The 14,703-nt window shown below is 42.1% G+C and overlaps 3 annotated features.

Moving 5' to 3' along the window:
• Positions 4,118 to 5,317: an enhancer, noted in NCBI's record as "P300/CBP strongly-dependent group 1 enhancer chr1:30446776-30447975 (GRCh37/hg19 assembly coordinates)". NCBI's record gives its function as "activates an origin of replication core promoter dependent on BRD2, BRD4, P300/CBP, MED14 and CDK7 cofactors, with strong dependence on P300/CBP, by STARR-seq in HCT116 cells {active_cell/tissue: HCT116}" and the evidence as "EXISTENCE:reporter gene assay evidence [ECO:0000049][PMID:35650434]".
• Positions 4,293 to 5,016: an enhancer, noted in NCBI's record as "OCT4-NANOG-H3K27ac hESC enhancer chr1:30446951-30447674 (GRCh37/hg19 assembly coordinates)". NCBI's record gives its function as "activates a minimal SCP1, AML or CMV promoter by ChIP-STARR-seq in naive and primed H9 embryonic stem cells {active_cell/tissue: H9 hESC(naive and primed)}" and the evidence as "EXISTENCE:reporter gene assay evidence [ECO:0000049][PMID:30033119]".
• Positions 11,667 to 12,324: an enhancer, noted in NCBI's record as "NANOG-H3K27ac-H3K4me1 hESC enhancer chr1:30454325-30454982 (GRCh37/hg19 assembly coordinates)". NCBI's record gives its function as "activates a minimal SCP1, AML or CMV promoter by ChIP-STARR-seq in naive and primed H9 embryonic stem cells {active_cell/tissue: H9 hESC(naive and primed)}" and the evidence as "EXISTENCE:reporter gene assay evidence [ECO:0000049][PMID:30033119]".

Below are 14,703 nucleotides of genomic sequence, written 5' to 3' on the forward strand. Positions count from 1 at the left end.
ATTCTCACAGTGAGGGTGGCCTGAGTCAGCAGGAGCCCAGGAGCTGAGAACTTGTTTTAAGAGAAAGGAAACTTGTCTAAGCTCACCTCCTACTCTCTCCCTGGGGTGAGAAAAGGGAGCCTGCCCAGAAATGTCATTTTCTGCTAATTTCAAAGTGTACATTGCACTTTGCTGGGCTGTTTATTCTCTTAATGCATTCTGTCTGAAAATAGCAGTCCCTTCCCTGAGACCCCAGTCCATGCCCAGTCCTGGGCAGTTAGAGAAACCCTGCTGCTCCAGCCTCTCCCTTGCAGAGTCTTTTGCTGTTCTCCATCCTCCCCAGCCCTCCCTGTCTGTGGTGCTGTCTCTTCTGCCTCTCCTCCCATCTCAGTCCTCAGCTTCCTCTAGTTCCTCTCATCTTTTTGCCTCCTCCTCTTTCAGATCTATCTTGAGAATGATCTGATTGCTGTGCAAAGATAAGAAATTTTCTGAGAACTTGACCAAAACGAGGCACTGAAGAACCCCTGCTTTGATTCAACCAACCCCTCCTGGGGTGCTTTGTGAACTGATGGCTTGGAAGCAGCCTGCGGTATCTGGGATCTATGACTCCCTCATTTTACAGATTAAAACCACTAACATCTGAGCTTCTCTAATCAGCTTCCAAAAAGTTTTTCCACCCATTAGTACCCAGTATTTCATGGGATCCTTTGAGAAGCCTGTGAGTTTGGTTGGACAAATTTACCATCATTCTAATCAGTGGAGGCCCAGAGAGGGGAATTAACTAGCCCAGAATCAAGGAGAAAGTGAGAGGGAGAATTGCAACAAGAGCCCCTTAACTATGGCCCACACTTCCCATGATCTAATGGATGGAGAGAAGGTGGGAAGCTAGCGGGGTCCTGTCCCATTAGCCGACATTCTCCTCGTGCAACCCCTGAGCTTGAAGCAGCTATAGGGATAACCATATGTGTTGAGGACTGGTCCCTGTGTGTTGAGCAGTTTTCAGCACACAGTAGGGCTGCAGAAAACACTACTAAATGAATCAGTGCCTGACGAATCTACAAATGGTAGGGGTGGCCTGGGCTAGCAGAAGCTCAGGAGCTCAGAAAGCTTTGTCATGAAAAATAAAATGCATTGAAACTCTCCTCCCACCTCGCCCTCTCTCTGGAGTGGGAAGAGGAACCTTCCCAGAAATGTCATTTTCTGCTCTTCTGTAAACTGAACAGCCTCAGCTAGTACCGTATCACCCATCCCTCCCGTGTCTTTCCTATGGTCTCCCTCACCCTCAAGGATGATTCCCGGCCGCTACCCTTCTCAAGCCTCACCCCAACTTCCTGGGCTCTCCTTTGCTGCCAGTCATCTGCCTCCTCTGATATTGGGGCAACGAGGCCATGAGGAATACACTCCTTTTCCCCTCTTGTGCTTCTTCCCCCATCCCAGGGTCAGGGGTGCCTGTCCTGGTGGAAATTCATCCCTCCAGCCAGTCTCTGGAGCCTCTCCCCTTCCTCCTCTGCAGGGTCAGCTCTCTCCAGCATCCTACCTCTCTCCCTCTCTGACCCTTTTCTTCTGTTCCTCCACCTCAGTTGCCCGAGGCTTCTGTCATCTAAGCTGCCCAAATCTCTCCCTTCCTCGGCCTTAAAACAAATCCTCCAGAGCTCTCCTGGCCCTCAAGATATTTCTTTCCTTCCTGTCATTGGCAATATCCTGCCTCCCATCCCCAGGTGACTCCAGCTGCCTGGATATGACACTCCCACGCCTGCTTCAGCTGAAAACTCTTACTTATCCTTAGGTCCACTGAAAAGTCACCTGTTGGAGGAAACACTGCAGCAGATGCCGGTGCTACCCCACCATGTCCCTTTGACCATCCTCAGTTGTCCTGCAGCAGTGGGATGTTTCTTGTACACTGACGGCCATTTTCTTCAAACGCTCCCTTCTCTCTTCTCCTTTGCCTTTGGGCTTGCTCTGGCACCACAACATCCAAGTGCAGGGCACTAAATGCATCCCGGGGACAACTCCTGAAATGTGGGGGATGAGATTCAGTGGACAAAGGCCCCAGCCTCCCCAGCCTCCAGGAGGACAGTCCTGAGGTGTGCTCCAGGGGGTTCCTCAGGGGCCCCCCATGGGAGGGAGGAGCCCAGCTGTCCACACAGCTAGCCAATTATGAAGACACCCTCTGTTGGCTTTTCTCCTTTCCCTGCACTCCTTTACTTGTGCTTCCTGGAGTCACAAAATCCCTCCCCAAACCTGCAAACCCAAGTCCTTGTGTCAGGTCTGTTTTGGGGCACTCACTCTAAGATAGATGTCTTTCTCATCTACCCCTGCCCAAGGGAGTTAAGGGTTCCAATGTCTATTTGAGCACATGTCATGACAGTTTCCCTCCTGAGCAAGACTGGTCTCCTCAAGAATAAGGGAGAGTTCCTATTTCTCTGTGTCCCCATCATCCAGCAAATAGATAGTGCATAAATGTTTCTTGAGTGAGTGAGAAAGTGAATGCATAAACGAATGAGTGAATAACGAGTTGTGTCTCTGGGGTACCTAAGCCCAGGTGAACAAGTCCTGCAAAACAATTATGGATTTATGCCAATGTGCCTGGCCCTTTCAAAGCCAGCCTTCTCCTCCACATCAAAATGTCTATAAACTGTACACTCCATTCAACCCCAGCGGCCCTTCTCTTTGCCTTCCCATTCTACTATCCATAATGCAATCATCTGCATACTGCCAGGACAGCCTCCTGTTAGAAAAACTTTTCAGGCTCAGCAGGAGGTCCTGACTCTAGTTAAATAAAGGTTAAAGAACAGAGGGAATTTCTATGATAATATGACATAAGTCAACGTGGCCTCCCAGAGAATGCCACTCCAGAGAGAGAGATTTTTCCTAGCTGGACTCCAGGGCTTATTCAGAAGTGCTCAGACAACTGCCTGTTCAGAGCTGATGAGAGCAGCCTGTGGAAATAGTCATTGAGACACATGAATTTATTGAGCCCATATATGTGCACTAGGGTTTCCAGCAAAAGGAATCAAATCATCGTAGAGGAATTAAAGTGGCTGCTGCCTGGCTGACATCACCTGAGTTGCGCAGACCATAGAGGGCTTGGATCTCCTTGGGGAGATGAGATACTCTAAGCACATGTGGCATACGCTGGGAACTCTAATTCAATACCTGGTCCAGCAAAAATCATTCATCAAATGAGAAAACTGAGGCTACATACACTGAGTCAGTGGCAGTCCTGGGACTCTAAGCCTGAATCCAGACAGCTTCTGTTCCACCCATGGCTTCTCTAAAGAACAAGCAGGGTGGGAATCATGCTGCAAAGACAAACAAACAAAACCTCGGACCTATTCACAGGCAATGTTCCCCATGGGGAACTAGAAATGCAGAGACCTGAGATCTAACACTGGCCACCTTGCCAAGTTGCTTCCCTTCTCTTGGTCTCCTTCCTCATCTGTACAAGAAGAAGGTTCGTAATCTCTAAGGTTTCTTCTACCTGCAAAAAAAAAAAAAGTTACTCTGGGCCTCAGTTTCCCGTCTTTCAGGTGAGCATAATATTCAACTTCCCCAAATGCTGTGAAGATCATATGAGGTCCAGAAGCTCCTTGGCAGAGATGTGTGAAATAAACCCTGGAACAGTATTATCATGGCTCACCATGTACAGCAAGGTGATGCTTGGAGCACAGCCAGGGTCATGTCTGAACCGCTGGAAAGAGCCAAGGGGGAAACTGATATTAGTTTTCAGACAAGCAGTTCTAGAATCAGGGGAGAGGTTTCAGGCAGCGCTCTAGTGATTGGAATCCCTGGAATGCTCCTTGTAGAATGAAGGGAGGCATCTTCAAGGCAAAATTTCCTTCACTGTCATGGCAATTTAGTTGGAATCACAGATCTCAGGCTGCCTGTCCAAGGGAGAGTTGGAAGCTCTGAGCTGTGGGCAGAGAACTGGTGGGAGTTGGGGGAATGAGAAGGAAAAATAAAGGAATATAAAGCAGGAGGCGCAGAAAGAGAATAGTACCCTCTCCATAGTACAAAATGCCAAAAGTATATTTCCTAGGGTCAGAAACACCTGAAATCAAATACCCCCATCATTCATGAGTTAAATGATTGAGGAAAACTCACGCAAGCTTTCTAGACTTCAATTTTCATATCTGTAAAATAGGGAGAAAAAATGGTACCTCTCTCATAGGAATAATGCTGGGAAATTACTTAGCATTATGTCTGGCCCAAGAAATTTCTAGCAGTGGTAGCAACAGAAGCAGGAATGGTTGCTTCAAATCTACAAAGCGATGTGTTTTTTAAAGAGGGGAGGAAGAATCCATATCACTGATAGTGGGGACAGGAGAAGAAAGGGCCATGTTTTGGGGGAGAGGCAGATGGGTTGGCTCAAATGAATAAAACCTGAAGAGGCACAGATATCCAGGCCTTACAAGTGAAAGAATGCAGCTAACAGCTTTTTATTCTGTTAATGAGAGCAAAGATTATTCATGTCAGTCTAACAGCAATTATATTAGTGGGAGAACAGTTAAGAATCCATGTTCTAATGGTGGCTGTAATGAGTATTGTAATAAGAAACTCAAGGCAAATTTTATCTAGTAGATCAATCAAGAAGAAATTTAAATTGAGCATTATGAGTGAGTCATTGTCTTGTATGCAAAACAATGAGTGCAAATGTTAGAGCAACAGGAGAGGGGAATTCACATGACTCAGCCTGACTGTGAATGACTTCCCAATGAGGTAAGCATTCAATCTCAAACAATGCTTCGAAGATGAATGACATTTCTAAAATTCCACAGAGAGTGAGTAGTGGAGCCTGGGCCCAAATTAGGTTCTGTCTGATACCAAAGCCCCACACACTTTTCAAAGTTGACTGACTTTGAGCCTTTGTCTATGACTGTCCCTGGCCTCCCTTGCCCAGCAAGACTGGGTACCAGAATGGCTCAGAACAAAGGAGTGTGGGCAACCATGACAGGGAAGGTCTCCTTCAATGATGATGGGCTATACAGAACAAATAACCAGGAGCTATAGTTTGCAAAGTGTACCAGGATTATATTTAAGATGGAGGGGAAAACCCACACACACTGTAATATGGAAGTTGTAAAATCTTTGTATTAAAGAGATTGTTCCTGGAAAGGCCCTTAGAGATCATCTGGTGCGGGCTCTCATTTAAAGATGAAGAAAATGAGGCCCAGATGATGAAGTGACTTGTCCAAGGTCATGGCATGAGTAGTTGATAGGAGTCAAGGACCAGACCCGGATTTTTCTGATCTGTCCCTTGTGCCTTCCCCACCATGGCCATGATGACAGTCTCTGGATGTTTGTAAATATGTGGCTGTCTAGACAACACGCTATGCAGAATAAATTAACTGGACCAGGTGACCTGTCATAACCTGTCATGACCTGGGTTCCCCACGTGTCTTGACACCCATAGCCAGAAGACACCAGGTTCTTTCCTGGGCTTAAACAACGCAGACATCTCCCAACCCTTCTTCCCTGGGGGAGGCCTCTGTCCATGGTACTGAAACAGGATTCTTGCTGATGCGTTCTTGTGGTAAGTTCTGTATTCGGTTCCCACCCTTTGAGAGATGAATGAAGACTAGATGGACCGAGTACTACTGAGGGCTGGGGAGTACATTTTTTAAATCAATCTTATTATATTGTAATTTACAGGCAACAAAAAATTGACACATTTCTAATGTGTAGGTCAAGTACTTTTGACAAATTTATACTTGTGTAGATATTATTCCAATCAAGATATGGAAAGTTCCTTCATGCCTCTTAGCCATCAACTTCTCTCCACCGTTCTCTGTTCAGTATTGTAAGATATTATGGTATAGAACAAGCACAGTGGATGGTGAAACCATGGGAAGAAAACATGAGTGTCAGAGAAGTCTTCCCAGGGAGAATGAGCTTTAAGTTGAGACCAGATTGAATAGATGTCAGTCAGGCAAACAAGTGGTATAGAAGAGACTCTAGGTCTGTATTTTGGGTTGATGCCACTTATGCATCTAGGTGTTTTTAGCCTTGCTGCTTTGGAGAATAAGAATACCTCTTTACCTCTCTGGAATCACATCTCACTCAGATGCTATATTTTCAAGTCATCCAAACTCACAACTATGTCTGGGAAATATCAGCCAACACTTCTTCCCAAGGACCATGGTTTTATTCTTAACTGGCTACTCCAAATGAGAAAGGGGCAAAAGCAGCCCCATCCACCCTCCACCCTGGGACACAGGGCATTGAGTTGGTCTGCTGAGAAGTGGAGAAAATCACATCTGTCACCATAGACACAAAAAGTCTTTTGGAAGAAAAGACCCAAAGTGGTTGCTGAGAAATTTAGAAGAAAGGTTGTAGATATATAATAACAAAATGTATGCATACACCAGAACATGCACATAGAAGCACATTGACATGGCTACCCATATGCAGGTATGCATTACCACATACACACATGTGTGTACACCCTTTGTCTCACACCAAGTGAATAAACAGACTAAACATTTCATGATGCAATCCAGCTCTCTAAACTCCATAAACTCAGCTCCAGGTACAAGTAAACCACAGAGACTCAATAAAGCCATAAATTGTGAGTCAAGGCAGCCACTTGTATTTTGGGGTCCTCAGGTTCCTCAGTTATAAAATAGGAGCTGGAGTGGGTGAGGATAGGGATTGAATTGGATTGATTCCCTAAGGCCTTTACTAGTATCACTATAGAGGTTGGGACTTCCTCACCAGTAAAAAGTGAGTAACAATAGAATCTTTCTTGACAAGTTGCTGGAGGATTATATGTGAAATGTTTAGTGTCAGGCATGACAACTAAAAGGTGTTCAGCATGGGGAAGTTTATCATCATCAGCTAGGAAGCAGTTCTACCCTTCAACGGATGTGGTGATAGGGAGGAGACCAAGCTGCTGATACCAGTTCTGTTCTGATATGCTGTGTAGTTTAGAGAAAGTCCCTTCCCCTCTCTGAACCTCAGTTTTCTCATCTGTAAGATGAAAGTGATTGGATAGGGTGATGGAAGGCCTATCCAATACTGACAGTTTTTTTTTTTTAACTCAAAGCTCAGCTTGTACTCTTAAACCTGTACCTCTTTTTGCCTTGTGTAAATCTCACCTCCTTTTCTCTCTTTCCTCCCTATTTGCTTTATCCCAAACTAATAGTGCCATTCAGGGCTTCTGTCATCTGTGCTGGGAACAGGCCCCTTATCCCTGATGAGCTCTGGCTACTGCCTTGCCAGAGGCATCAGTGAAGGCTCCCAGGGCAACCAATTAAATGGTTGTTGTCAAGGAAACCCTTGCAACTCTCCAGATATTTTTCCCCTCAACAACTTTGTTGAGGAATAATTGTTATACAAGCAACTGTGCATATTTAAGTGTAAAACTTAATAATAAAATAAGCACCTTAGACAAGTTAGTGAGCATATCTATCATCCACAACAATTATAGATGTATCCCTTTTTAATCACCCCCTCTCAACTACTCCCCTCTCCCTCACTATCATCCCAAGTCAACCACTGATCTACTTTCTGTCACAAGAGATTAGTTTGCATTTTCTAGAATTGGAATCATATAGTATGGCATTCTTTATCTGGCTTCATTCATTCAGCATAATACTTTTGAAATGTATCCATATTGTTGAACATATCAATCCTTGATTATTTTTTATTGCTGAATAGTAATTCATTGTATGAATATATCACAATTTGTTTGCCCATTTACCTGTGGAGTTGATGGATGTTTGTGGTTTTCCAAGTTTTTTTGTTTGTCGTTTTTATTATTGTAAATGAAGCTGCTATGAACATTTGTGTGTGAGTGTTCGTGTGAACATATGCTTTAATTTCCCTCGAGTAAATACGTAGGAGTGAAATAGCTGGATCACATAGTACGTGTATGTTTAACCACAAAAGAGCTGTATCACCTTATATTCCCACCAGAAGTGTAGAAGAATTCTAATTTTTCCATATTCTCACCAACACTTAGTGTGATCAGTCTTTTAAATTTTAACCATTAAAATAGGTGAATTTTAGCAGCTCACTGCAGTTTTAATATGCATTTTCCTAATGACTATAGTTGTTGAGCATATTTTCATGGGCTTATTTGCCATCCATATATCACTTTGATGATATTTGTTGAAAGCTTTTGCCTTTAAATTGTCTGTTTTCTTATATCAGGTTTTGATTTATATATATGAATACATGTCTTTTAGCAGACATGTGATTTACAAACGTTTTCTTTCAGTCTGTGGCTTATCTTTCCATTCTCTTTAAAAGTATCTTTCAAAGAGCAGACATTTTTATTTTGATGATCTGTTTTATCAGTTTGTTCCTTTATGAATTGTGTTTTTGATGTTATATCTAAGAAATCTTTGCTTAAACCAATCTCATAAAAGTTTTTCTACTGTGCTTTCCTCAGATGCTTTATGGTTTTAGGTTTTACATTTAGTGTGGAACAAAGTCCATCTTTGTTTGTTGGAATATGGATATCCAATGGTCCCAGAGCCAGTTGTTGAAAAAAAGCCCTATCTCTTTTGAACAGAATTATTTTTACTTCATTGTAAAAAATCAGGTGTCTGTATATGTGTGGGTCTCTTTCTGGACTCTATTCTATTTCACTGGTCTATTTGTCATTCTTGATGCCAATAGCACATTGTCTTGATAATGCAGTTTTAGAATAAATCTTGAAATTAAGTACTGTTAGTCTTTCAACTTTGTTCTTGTGTTTAAAATTGTCTTAGCTATTCTAGGTCTTACATTTACATATAGATATTAGAACAGTTTTTCTCAATTTCTGCAAAGCAGACTGCTGGGTTTCTGATTGAGATTGAAGTGAATCTATAGAACAATTAGGGGGAAACTGACAGTGTTCTGTAATTTCCAGTGTGTAGAATTTCTGTGATATTTTATGTTATTGTAAATGGTATTGTTTTTTAATTGTTATTTCTGATCATTTATTGCTAACATATAGAAATACACCTGATATTTGTATATTGTTTTATATCCTGCAGCTTACTAATCTCTTTCTGTAATTCTAGTAGCTTTGTTTGTATTATACATTCCATCAGATTTTCCACCTAGGTGTTCATGTTGTATGTGAATAAAGAGTATTATTTCTTTCTTTCTATACTGAATGACTTTAGTTTTATTCCTTGTCTGATAGGACTGGTCAGAACTTCTAGTACAATGATGAATAAAAGTGATAAGAACAGACATCTTGTCTTTTTCCTGATTTTAGGGCAAAGCAGTTACTCTTTCACCATAAATAAATATAATGTAAGCTATAGTTTTTGTAAATAACCTTTATTAGGTTGAGAAAATTCACTTCTATTTCTAGCTTACAGATAGTTTTCATTAAGAATGAATGTTGGATTTTGTCAAATTCTTTTCCTGTAGATATACTGTAGGGTTTTTTTCTTTTTGAGTTTGTTAATATGATAAATCACATTGATCTTCAAATGTTAAACCAACCTTTTATTCCTGGCACAAGTTTCATTTAATTATGATGTATTACACACTTCATATATTGCTGTATTTGATTTGTTATAATTTTGTTTAGAATATTGTCATTTATTTTCATGATGAATATTTGTTATAATTTTCTTTTCTTGTTATGGCTTTGTCAAGTTTTGGTATAAGAGAAATACTGGCCACAAACAAAGAGTTGGAAAGTATTTACTCATCTTTATTCTGGGGAAGATTTTTTAGTAGAATTGGTATTATTTATTCCTTAAATTCCTTTTATTCCTGGCCAACATGGTGAAACCCCGTCTCTACTAAGAATACAACAATTAGCTGGGAGTGACGGTGTGTGCCTGTAATCCCAGCTACTAGAGGGGCTGAGGCAAGAGAATCGCTTGAACCCAGGAGGTGGAGGTTGCAGTGAGCCAAGATCACGCCACTGCACTCCAGCCTGGCAACAGAGTGAGACTCCATCTCAAAAAAAAAAAAAAAAAAAAAAAAAAAAAAAAAGTCGTTTTAGTAGATTTACTAAAGATTACTTTAGATTTAGATTTGCCAAATTTACTTGGGTTTTTAGCAGATTTACAACTATTCAAGTTATATATTTATTCCTGAGTGAGCTTCAGTAGTTTATATTTTTCAATGAATTAGTCCATTTCTTCTAACTTGTCAACCATATTGGCATAATGTTGTACATAATATTCTCATATTATCATTTTAATATCCGTAGAATTTGTGCTAATGTCACTCCTCTCATTTCTGATATTTGTTCTTTGTGTCTTTTCTCTTTTTTTTCTTGATGGTCTGGCTAGAGGTTTATCAATTTTATTATCTCCTCAAAGAACCGGCTTCTGGTTTTATTGGTTGTCTTTATTATTTTTCCTTTTTTATAGCATTGATTTCACTCTGATCTTTAATGGTCCCTCCCTTCCTTTATTCTGCATTTCATTTGCTCTTTCTTCACAAGTTTCATAAGGTTGAATCTGACATCATTGATTTGAGATTTTTCTTTTCTATTATAAGTCATTAATACTAAAATAAAGGCTCTAAGTACTGATTTAGTGGCATCTCACAATTTTTGATATGTTGTTTTTAATTTTCATTCAGTTCAAAACACTTTCCATTTCCCATTTTTATTTTATTTTTGACCTATGGGTTATTTAAAAATGCGTTATTTAGTTTTCAAATAGTTGGTGATTTTCCAGAGAGATCTTTCCATTATTAATTTCTAATTCAATTCCATTATGGTCAAAGAACATACTTGTATTGCTTGGATCCTTATATATTAATTGGGACATCTTTATGGCCTAGAATGTGATCTATCCTGGTAGGAGATCAATGTGCATTTGAAAAGAATGTGTATTCTGTTATTGTTTGTAGCATTTTATAATTGTCAATTTGGTCAAGTTGATTGATTGTGTTGTTTAAAACTTCCTAATCCTTACTAATTTTGGTTGTTCTGAATTCTTTGTGAGTTTATCTGCTTCTTCTTGTTGCTCGATCAGTATTTTTTTTTTCATGTATTTTAGAATTCTGTTATGAGGTGCATACACATTTGGGATTGTATGTCCTCCTAATGAGTTGACTTCTTCATCATTAAGAAATTGCCTTCTTTATCCCTGGTAATATTATTTTCCCCAAAATATATTTTGTCCGATATTAATATAATCATTGATATGGTTAGGCTGTGTCCCCACCCAAATCTCATCTCGAATTATAATCCCTACATGTCAAGGGAGGGACTTGTAATCCCCAGGTGTTGAGGGGGGGAAGTGATTGGATCATGGGGGTGGTTTCCCCCGTGCTGTTCTCGTGATAGTGAGTGAATTCTCGTGAGATCTGAGGGTTTTAAAACTGGCAGTTTCTTCCTGAGCTCTCATTATTTCTCCCTTGCCACCTTGTGAAGAAGGTGCCTGCTTCTCCTTTGCCTTCTGCCATGATTTTAAGTTTCCTGAGGTCTCCTCAGCTATGTGGAACTGTAAGTCAATTAAACCTCTTCCTTTATAAATTACCCAGTCTAGGATATTTCTTTATAGCAGTGTGAAAATGGACTAATACAGTCACTCTGACTTTCTTTTGATTAATGCTTGTGTGGTATATGTTTTCTTAACCTTTTATTTTTAACCTATATGTGGCTTTATATTTAAAGTGTGTTTCTCGTGCAGATGGTATACAGTTGGGTCTTTTTTCTTATCCAATCTGATAATCTCTGCCTTTTAATTGACACGTTGGGTTATTATGAGGGTTAAGATATATGCAAAGATAAACATCAACTAACTCTTCCCCCTACCTCCTCACCCTCTCTGTTGTACATCTTTTAATCATTTACAATTGACTTCTCATCATGTCTCCTGTTGTGGCCCTTATTACAATACATATGTATATGTTTCCGTGTAATCCTCTGTTCATTGCCCATTTTCCATACTAGCAACTTGAAGTCCCAGGCTGGAAGATGCTAGTAAATGTATTAATGACTGAGCCTCCCTGCATGGTGCCTCATCATTGTCTGCATGAGACTGAGGAGCGAATTCCTGACCTTGACTGCCCAGGTCAGCTGCAGCTAGAGAGTAAATGGTAGAGCTTTTTGGGGATTTCCCTCACTCTATAGCCTCACTGTGGTTCAGTGAGTCTTCAACAAAGATAGAGATTGTGTGCAAGCTAAAGCCTCTGCCATGCAGCCTGCATACAAAATCTAGTCCTGTGAGACTTCCTCCTGCTGTAGCATTGGGTCAGGGGCTCCAGGTGGCTCTCAGGGTGGACAAATGGAACTATAGCTGTCCCTGTCAGCATCACGCATGGCCCTCGTCCTGAGCGGTTAGAGCAGGAATGTGCAGATCCCACAGTGATCAGTTAACAGCCCCACTGACACATGCTCTGTGCCAGGCCTGTCCTGGGCTCAAGGGCCATAGGGATGGGTTAGACATCACCCTTTCCCTTTGGGAGATCACAGTTTAGGGGCTGATGGATGAATCACAGTCTAGACCCAGAGAGTGAGTGTAACTCAGCACAGGCTCCATAGCCAGGCAGTGGGTGGGGTTGGGACAGAGCCCAGGGCTCCTGAAACCTGGGCTGCCCCACCAGGACTTGCTATGCAGGTGCCAGGCTAGCATTAAGGGCCAGGCAATGTTTTCTGTGGAAAGATCCCGACTTACAATTGTGTCTGGAGTTGGTTCCTTCCGGTGGGTTTGCGGTCTAGCAGACTTCAAGAATGGAGCCGCCGACCTTTGCGATGAGTGTTACAGCTCTTAAAGATGGCACGGACCTAAAGAGTGAGCAGTAGCAAGGTTTATTGTGAAGAGCGAAAGAACAAAGCTTCCACAGCGTGGAAGGGGACCCCAGTGGGTTGCCCTGCTGGTTAGGGTGGCCAGCTGTTATTTCCTTATTTGTCTCCTCCCATGTTCCGTTTCTGTCCTATCAGAGTGCCCTTTTTTCAATCCTCCCTGCAATTAGCTACTTTTAGGATCCTGCTGATGGGTGCAATTTACAGAGCTTTGATTGGTGCGTTTTATAGAGCGCTGATTGGTGTGTTTTACAATCCTCTTGCTAGCTATGGAACACTGATTCGTGCATTTTTACAGAGCACTGATTGGTGCATTTTACAATCCCCTTGCTAGCTACAGAACCCTCTTTGGTGTGTTTTACAATCCTCTTGCTAGCTATGGAACACTGATTCGTGCATTTTTACAGAGCACTGATTGGTGCATTTTACAATCCCCTTGCTAGCTACAGAACCCTCATTGGTGTGTTTTACAATCCTCTGGAAAGACAGAAAAGTTCTCCAAGTCCCCACTTAACCCAGGAAGTCCAGCTGGCTTCACCTCTCACAATGACAATTGTGAATGGAGATGAGATCAGGATAAAACAGACTTGACCAATAGCCATCCCCCACCAGGTTCTAGGCACCCGGTAGCTGTTCTCTTTGTCCAATGTTATCAAGTTTTGTCCTCAAGAAACGCCCTGGACCAATCAGGAATTTTTGAGTTGAAAGTAACAGAATACAAAACAAAACAAAAACCAACCAAACAAAACCAGCTTAAACAAACGTGGGAAGTCAGTGGCGCAGCTGACCAAGAACTACAGAGCTTTGACCCTGGGTTCAGGCCTGGGATCCAACTCTTTGGCATTCTCTCCTCTCTCCATGTGCTGCCGTCCTTGCTGGTCCGTCACACCCTCACTCTGCAATGACCATAACAGAGAGTCTATTCTGGGAGCTCCTTCTGAAGACAGGGGTGGCTCCTTTTTCCCAGAAACCCCAGCGAACATCTCCTCCTTTTACATTGATCTGAACTGGGTCATGTGCCATTCCCTTAACCAATCACTGTACAGCAGGATAAGATAGAATGACGGCTTAGGCCAATCAGAATCCAGCCCTGGAGCTGAGGGTGGGTCGTTCAGGCCACAGAGGGAAAGCACAGGGTTGGTCTGGAGGACTTAGTGGAAAGCGGTGAAATGGAGGCTGGAGAGACAGCAAAGCCCTAAGACAGACGCCATCGCCTGAGATCATGAATATGATCCAGTCAATCAGAACCTCCCCCACCCCCACTGTTCCAGCCCTGTCTCCATGTCCTGCCTTATGGCAAGGCCTGCTGCTTAGTGGTGTGGAGTTACCCTCCCCAGTGCTGGCTCATGACTCCATTCATTTGCCCTTGCTGTACCCTCCATTTGGTATTTCTCTCTTCCCTGACATATTAGATCCGTGGTATGATGTCAAGTCACACATAATTGGGTCCTTGTTGGGGGTTCCCAAGACTTCTTGTACCCACCACCATCATGTCACTTGCAACAGTTACAGTTATGTTTCTAGGTCATGTCTGCCCTCTCCAGCCCCCAAATAAGCACACAGAAACACACACACATGCAGCTGGTGAGTTCCTTGAAACTATGGGCCAAGTCTTAATCTCTTTACTGCCAGCCTCTAGCTACTATCTGGTTTACCGAAGAGACTCAGTAAATATTTGTGGAATGAATGAACATAAGTTATTTTTGTTGAATACATGGTTGTTGTGAGGTATTTGCATTTTTATGAAGGACAAAGCCGCAAGCCAAAGCTCCAGCGGAGGGATTTCAGGCACCAGTGAGCTAGGCCTGGAAGTCTATTCTATTGTTTAGTGCCTGGGGAAGGATATGACTGTCACAGCAGGTGGAGTCTTCCATTCATTGCTTTCCAGTGCAAAAGTGGGAAAACAATCACATTGCCTCCTGAAAACAAAAGTGTGTCATGGAAACAAACGTTTCTGTTTGTTTTCTTGCGGGGAGGAAAGTTCTCTAGTCTTATCAGGTTTTGCT

The sequence above is a fragment of the Homo sapiens genome, chromosome 1, assembly GCF_000001405.40.
Source record: "Homo sapiens chromosome 1, GRCh38.p14 Primary Assembly".
Lineage (NCBI taxonomy): Eukaryota > Metazoa > Chordata > Mammalia > Primates > Hominidae > Homo > Homo sapiens.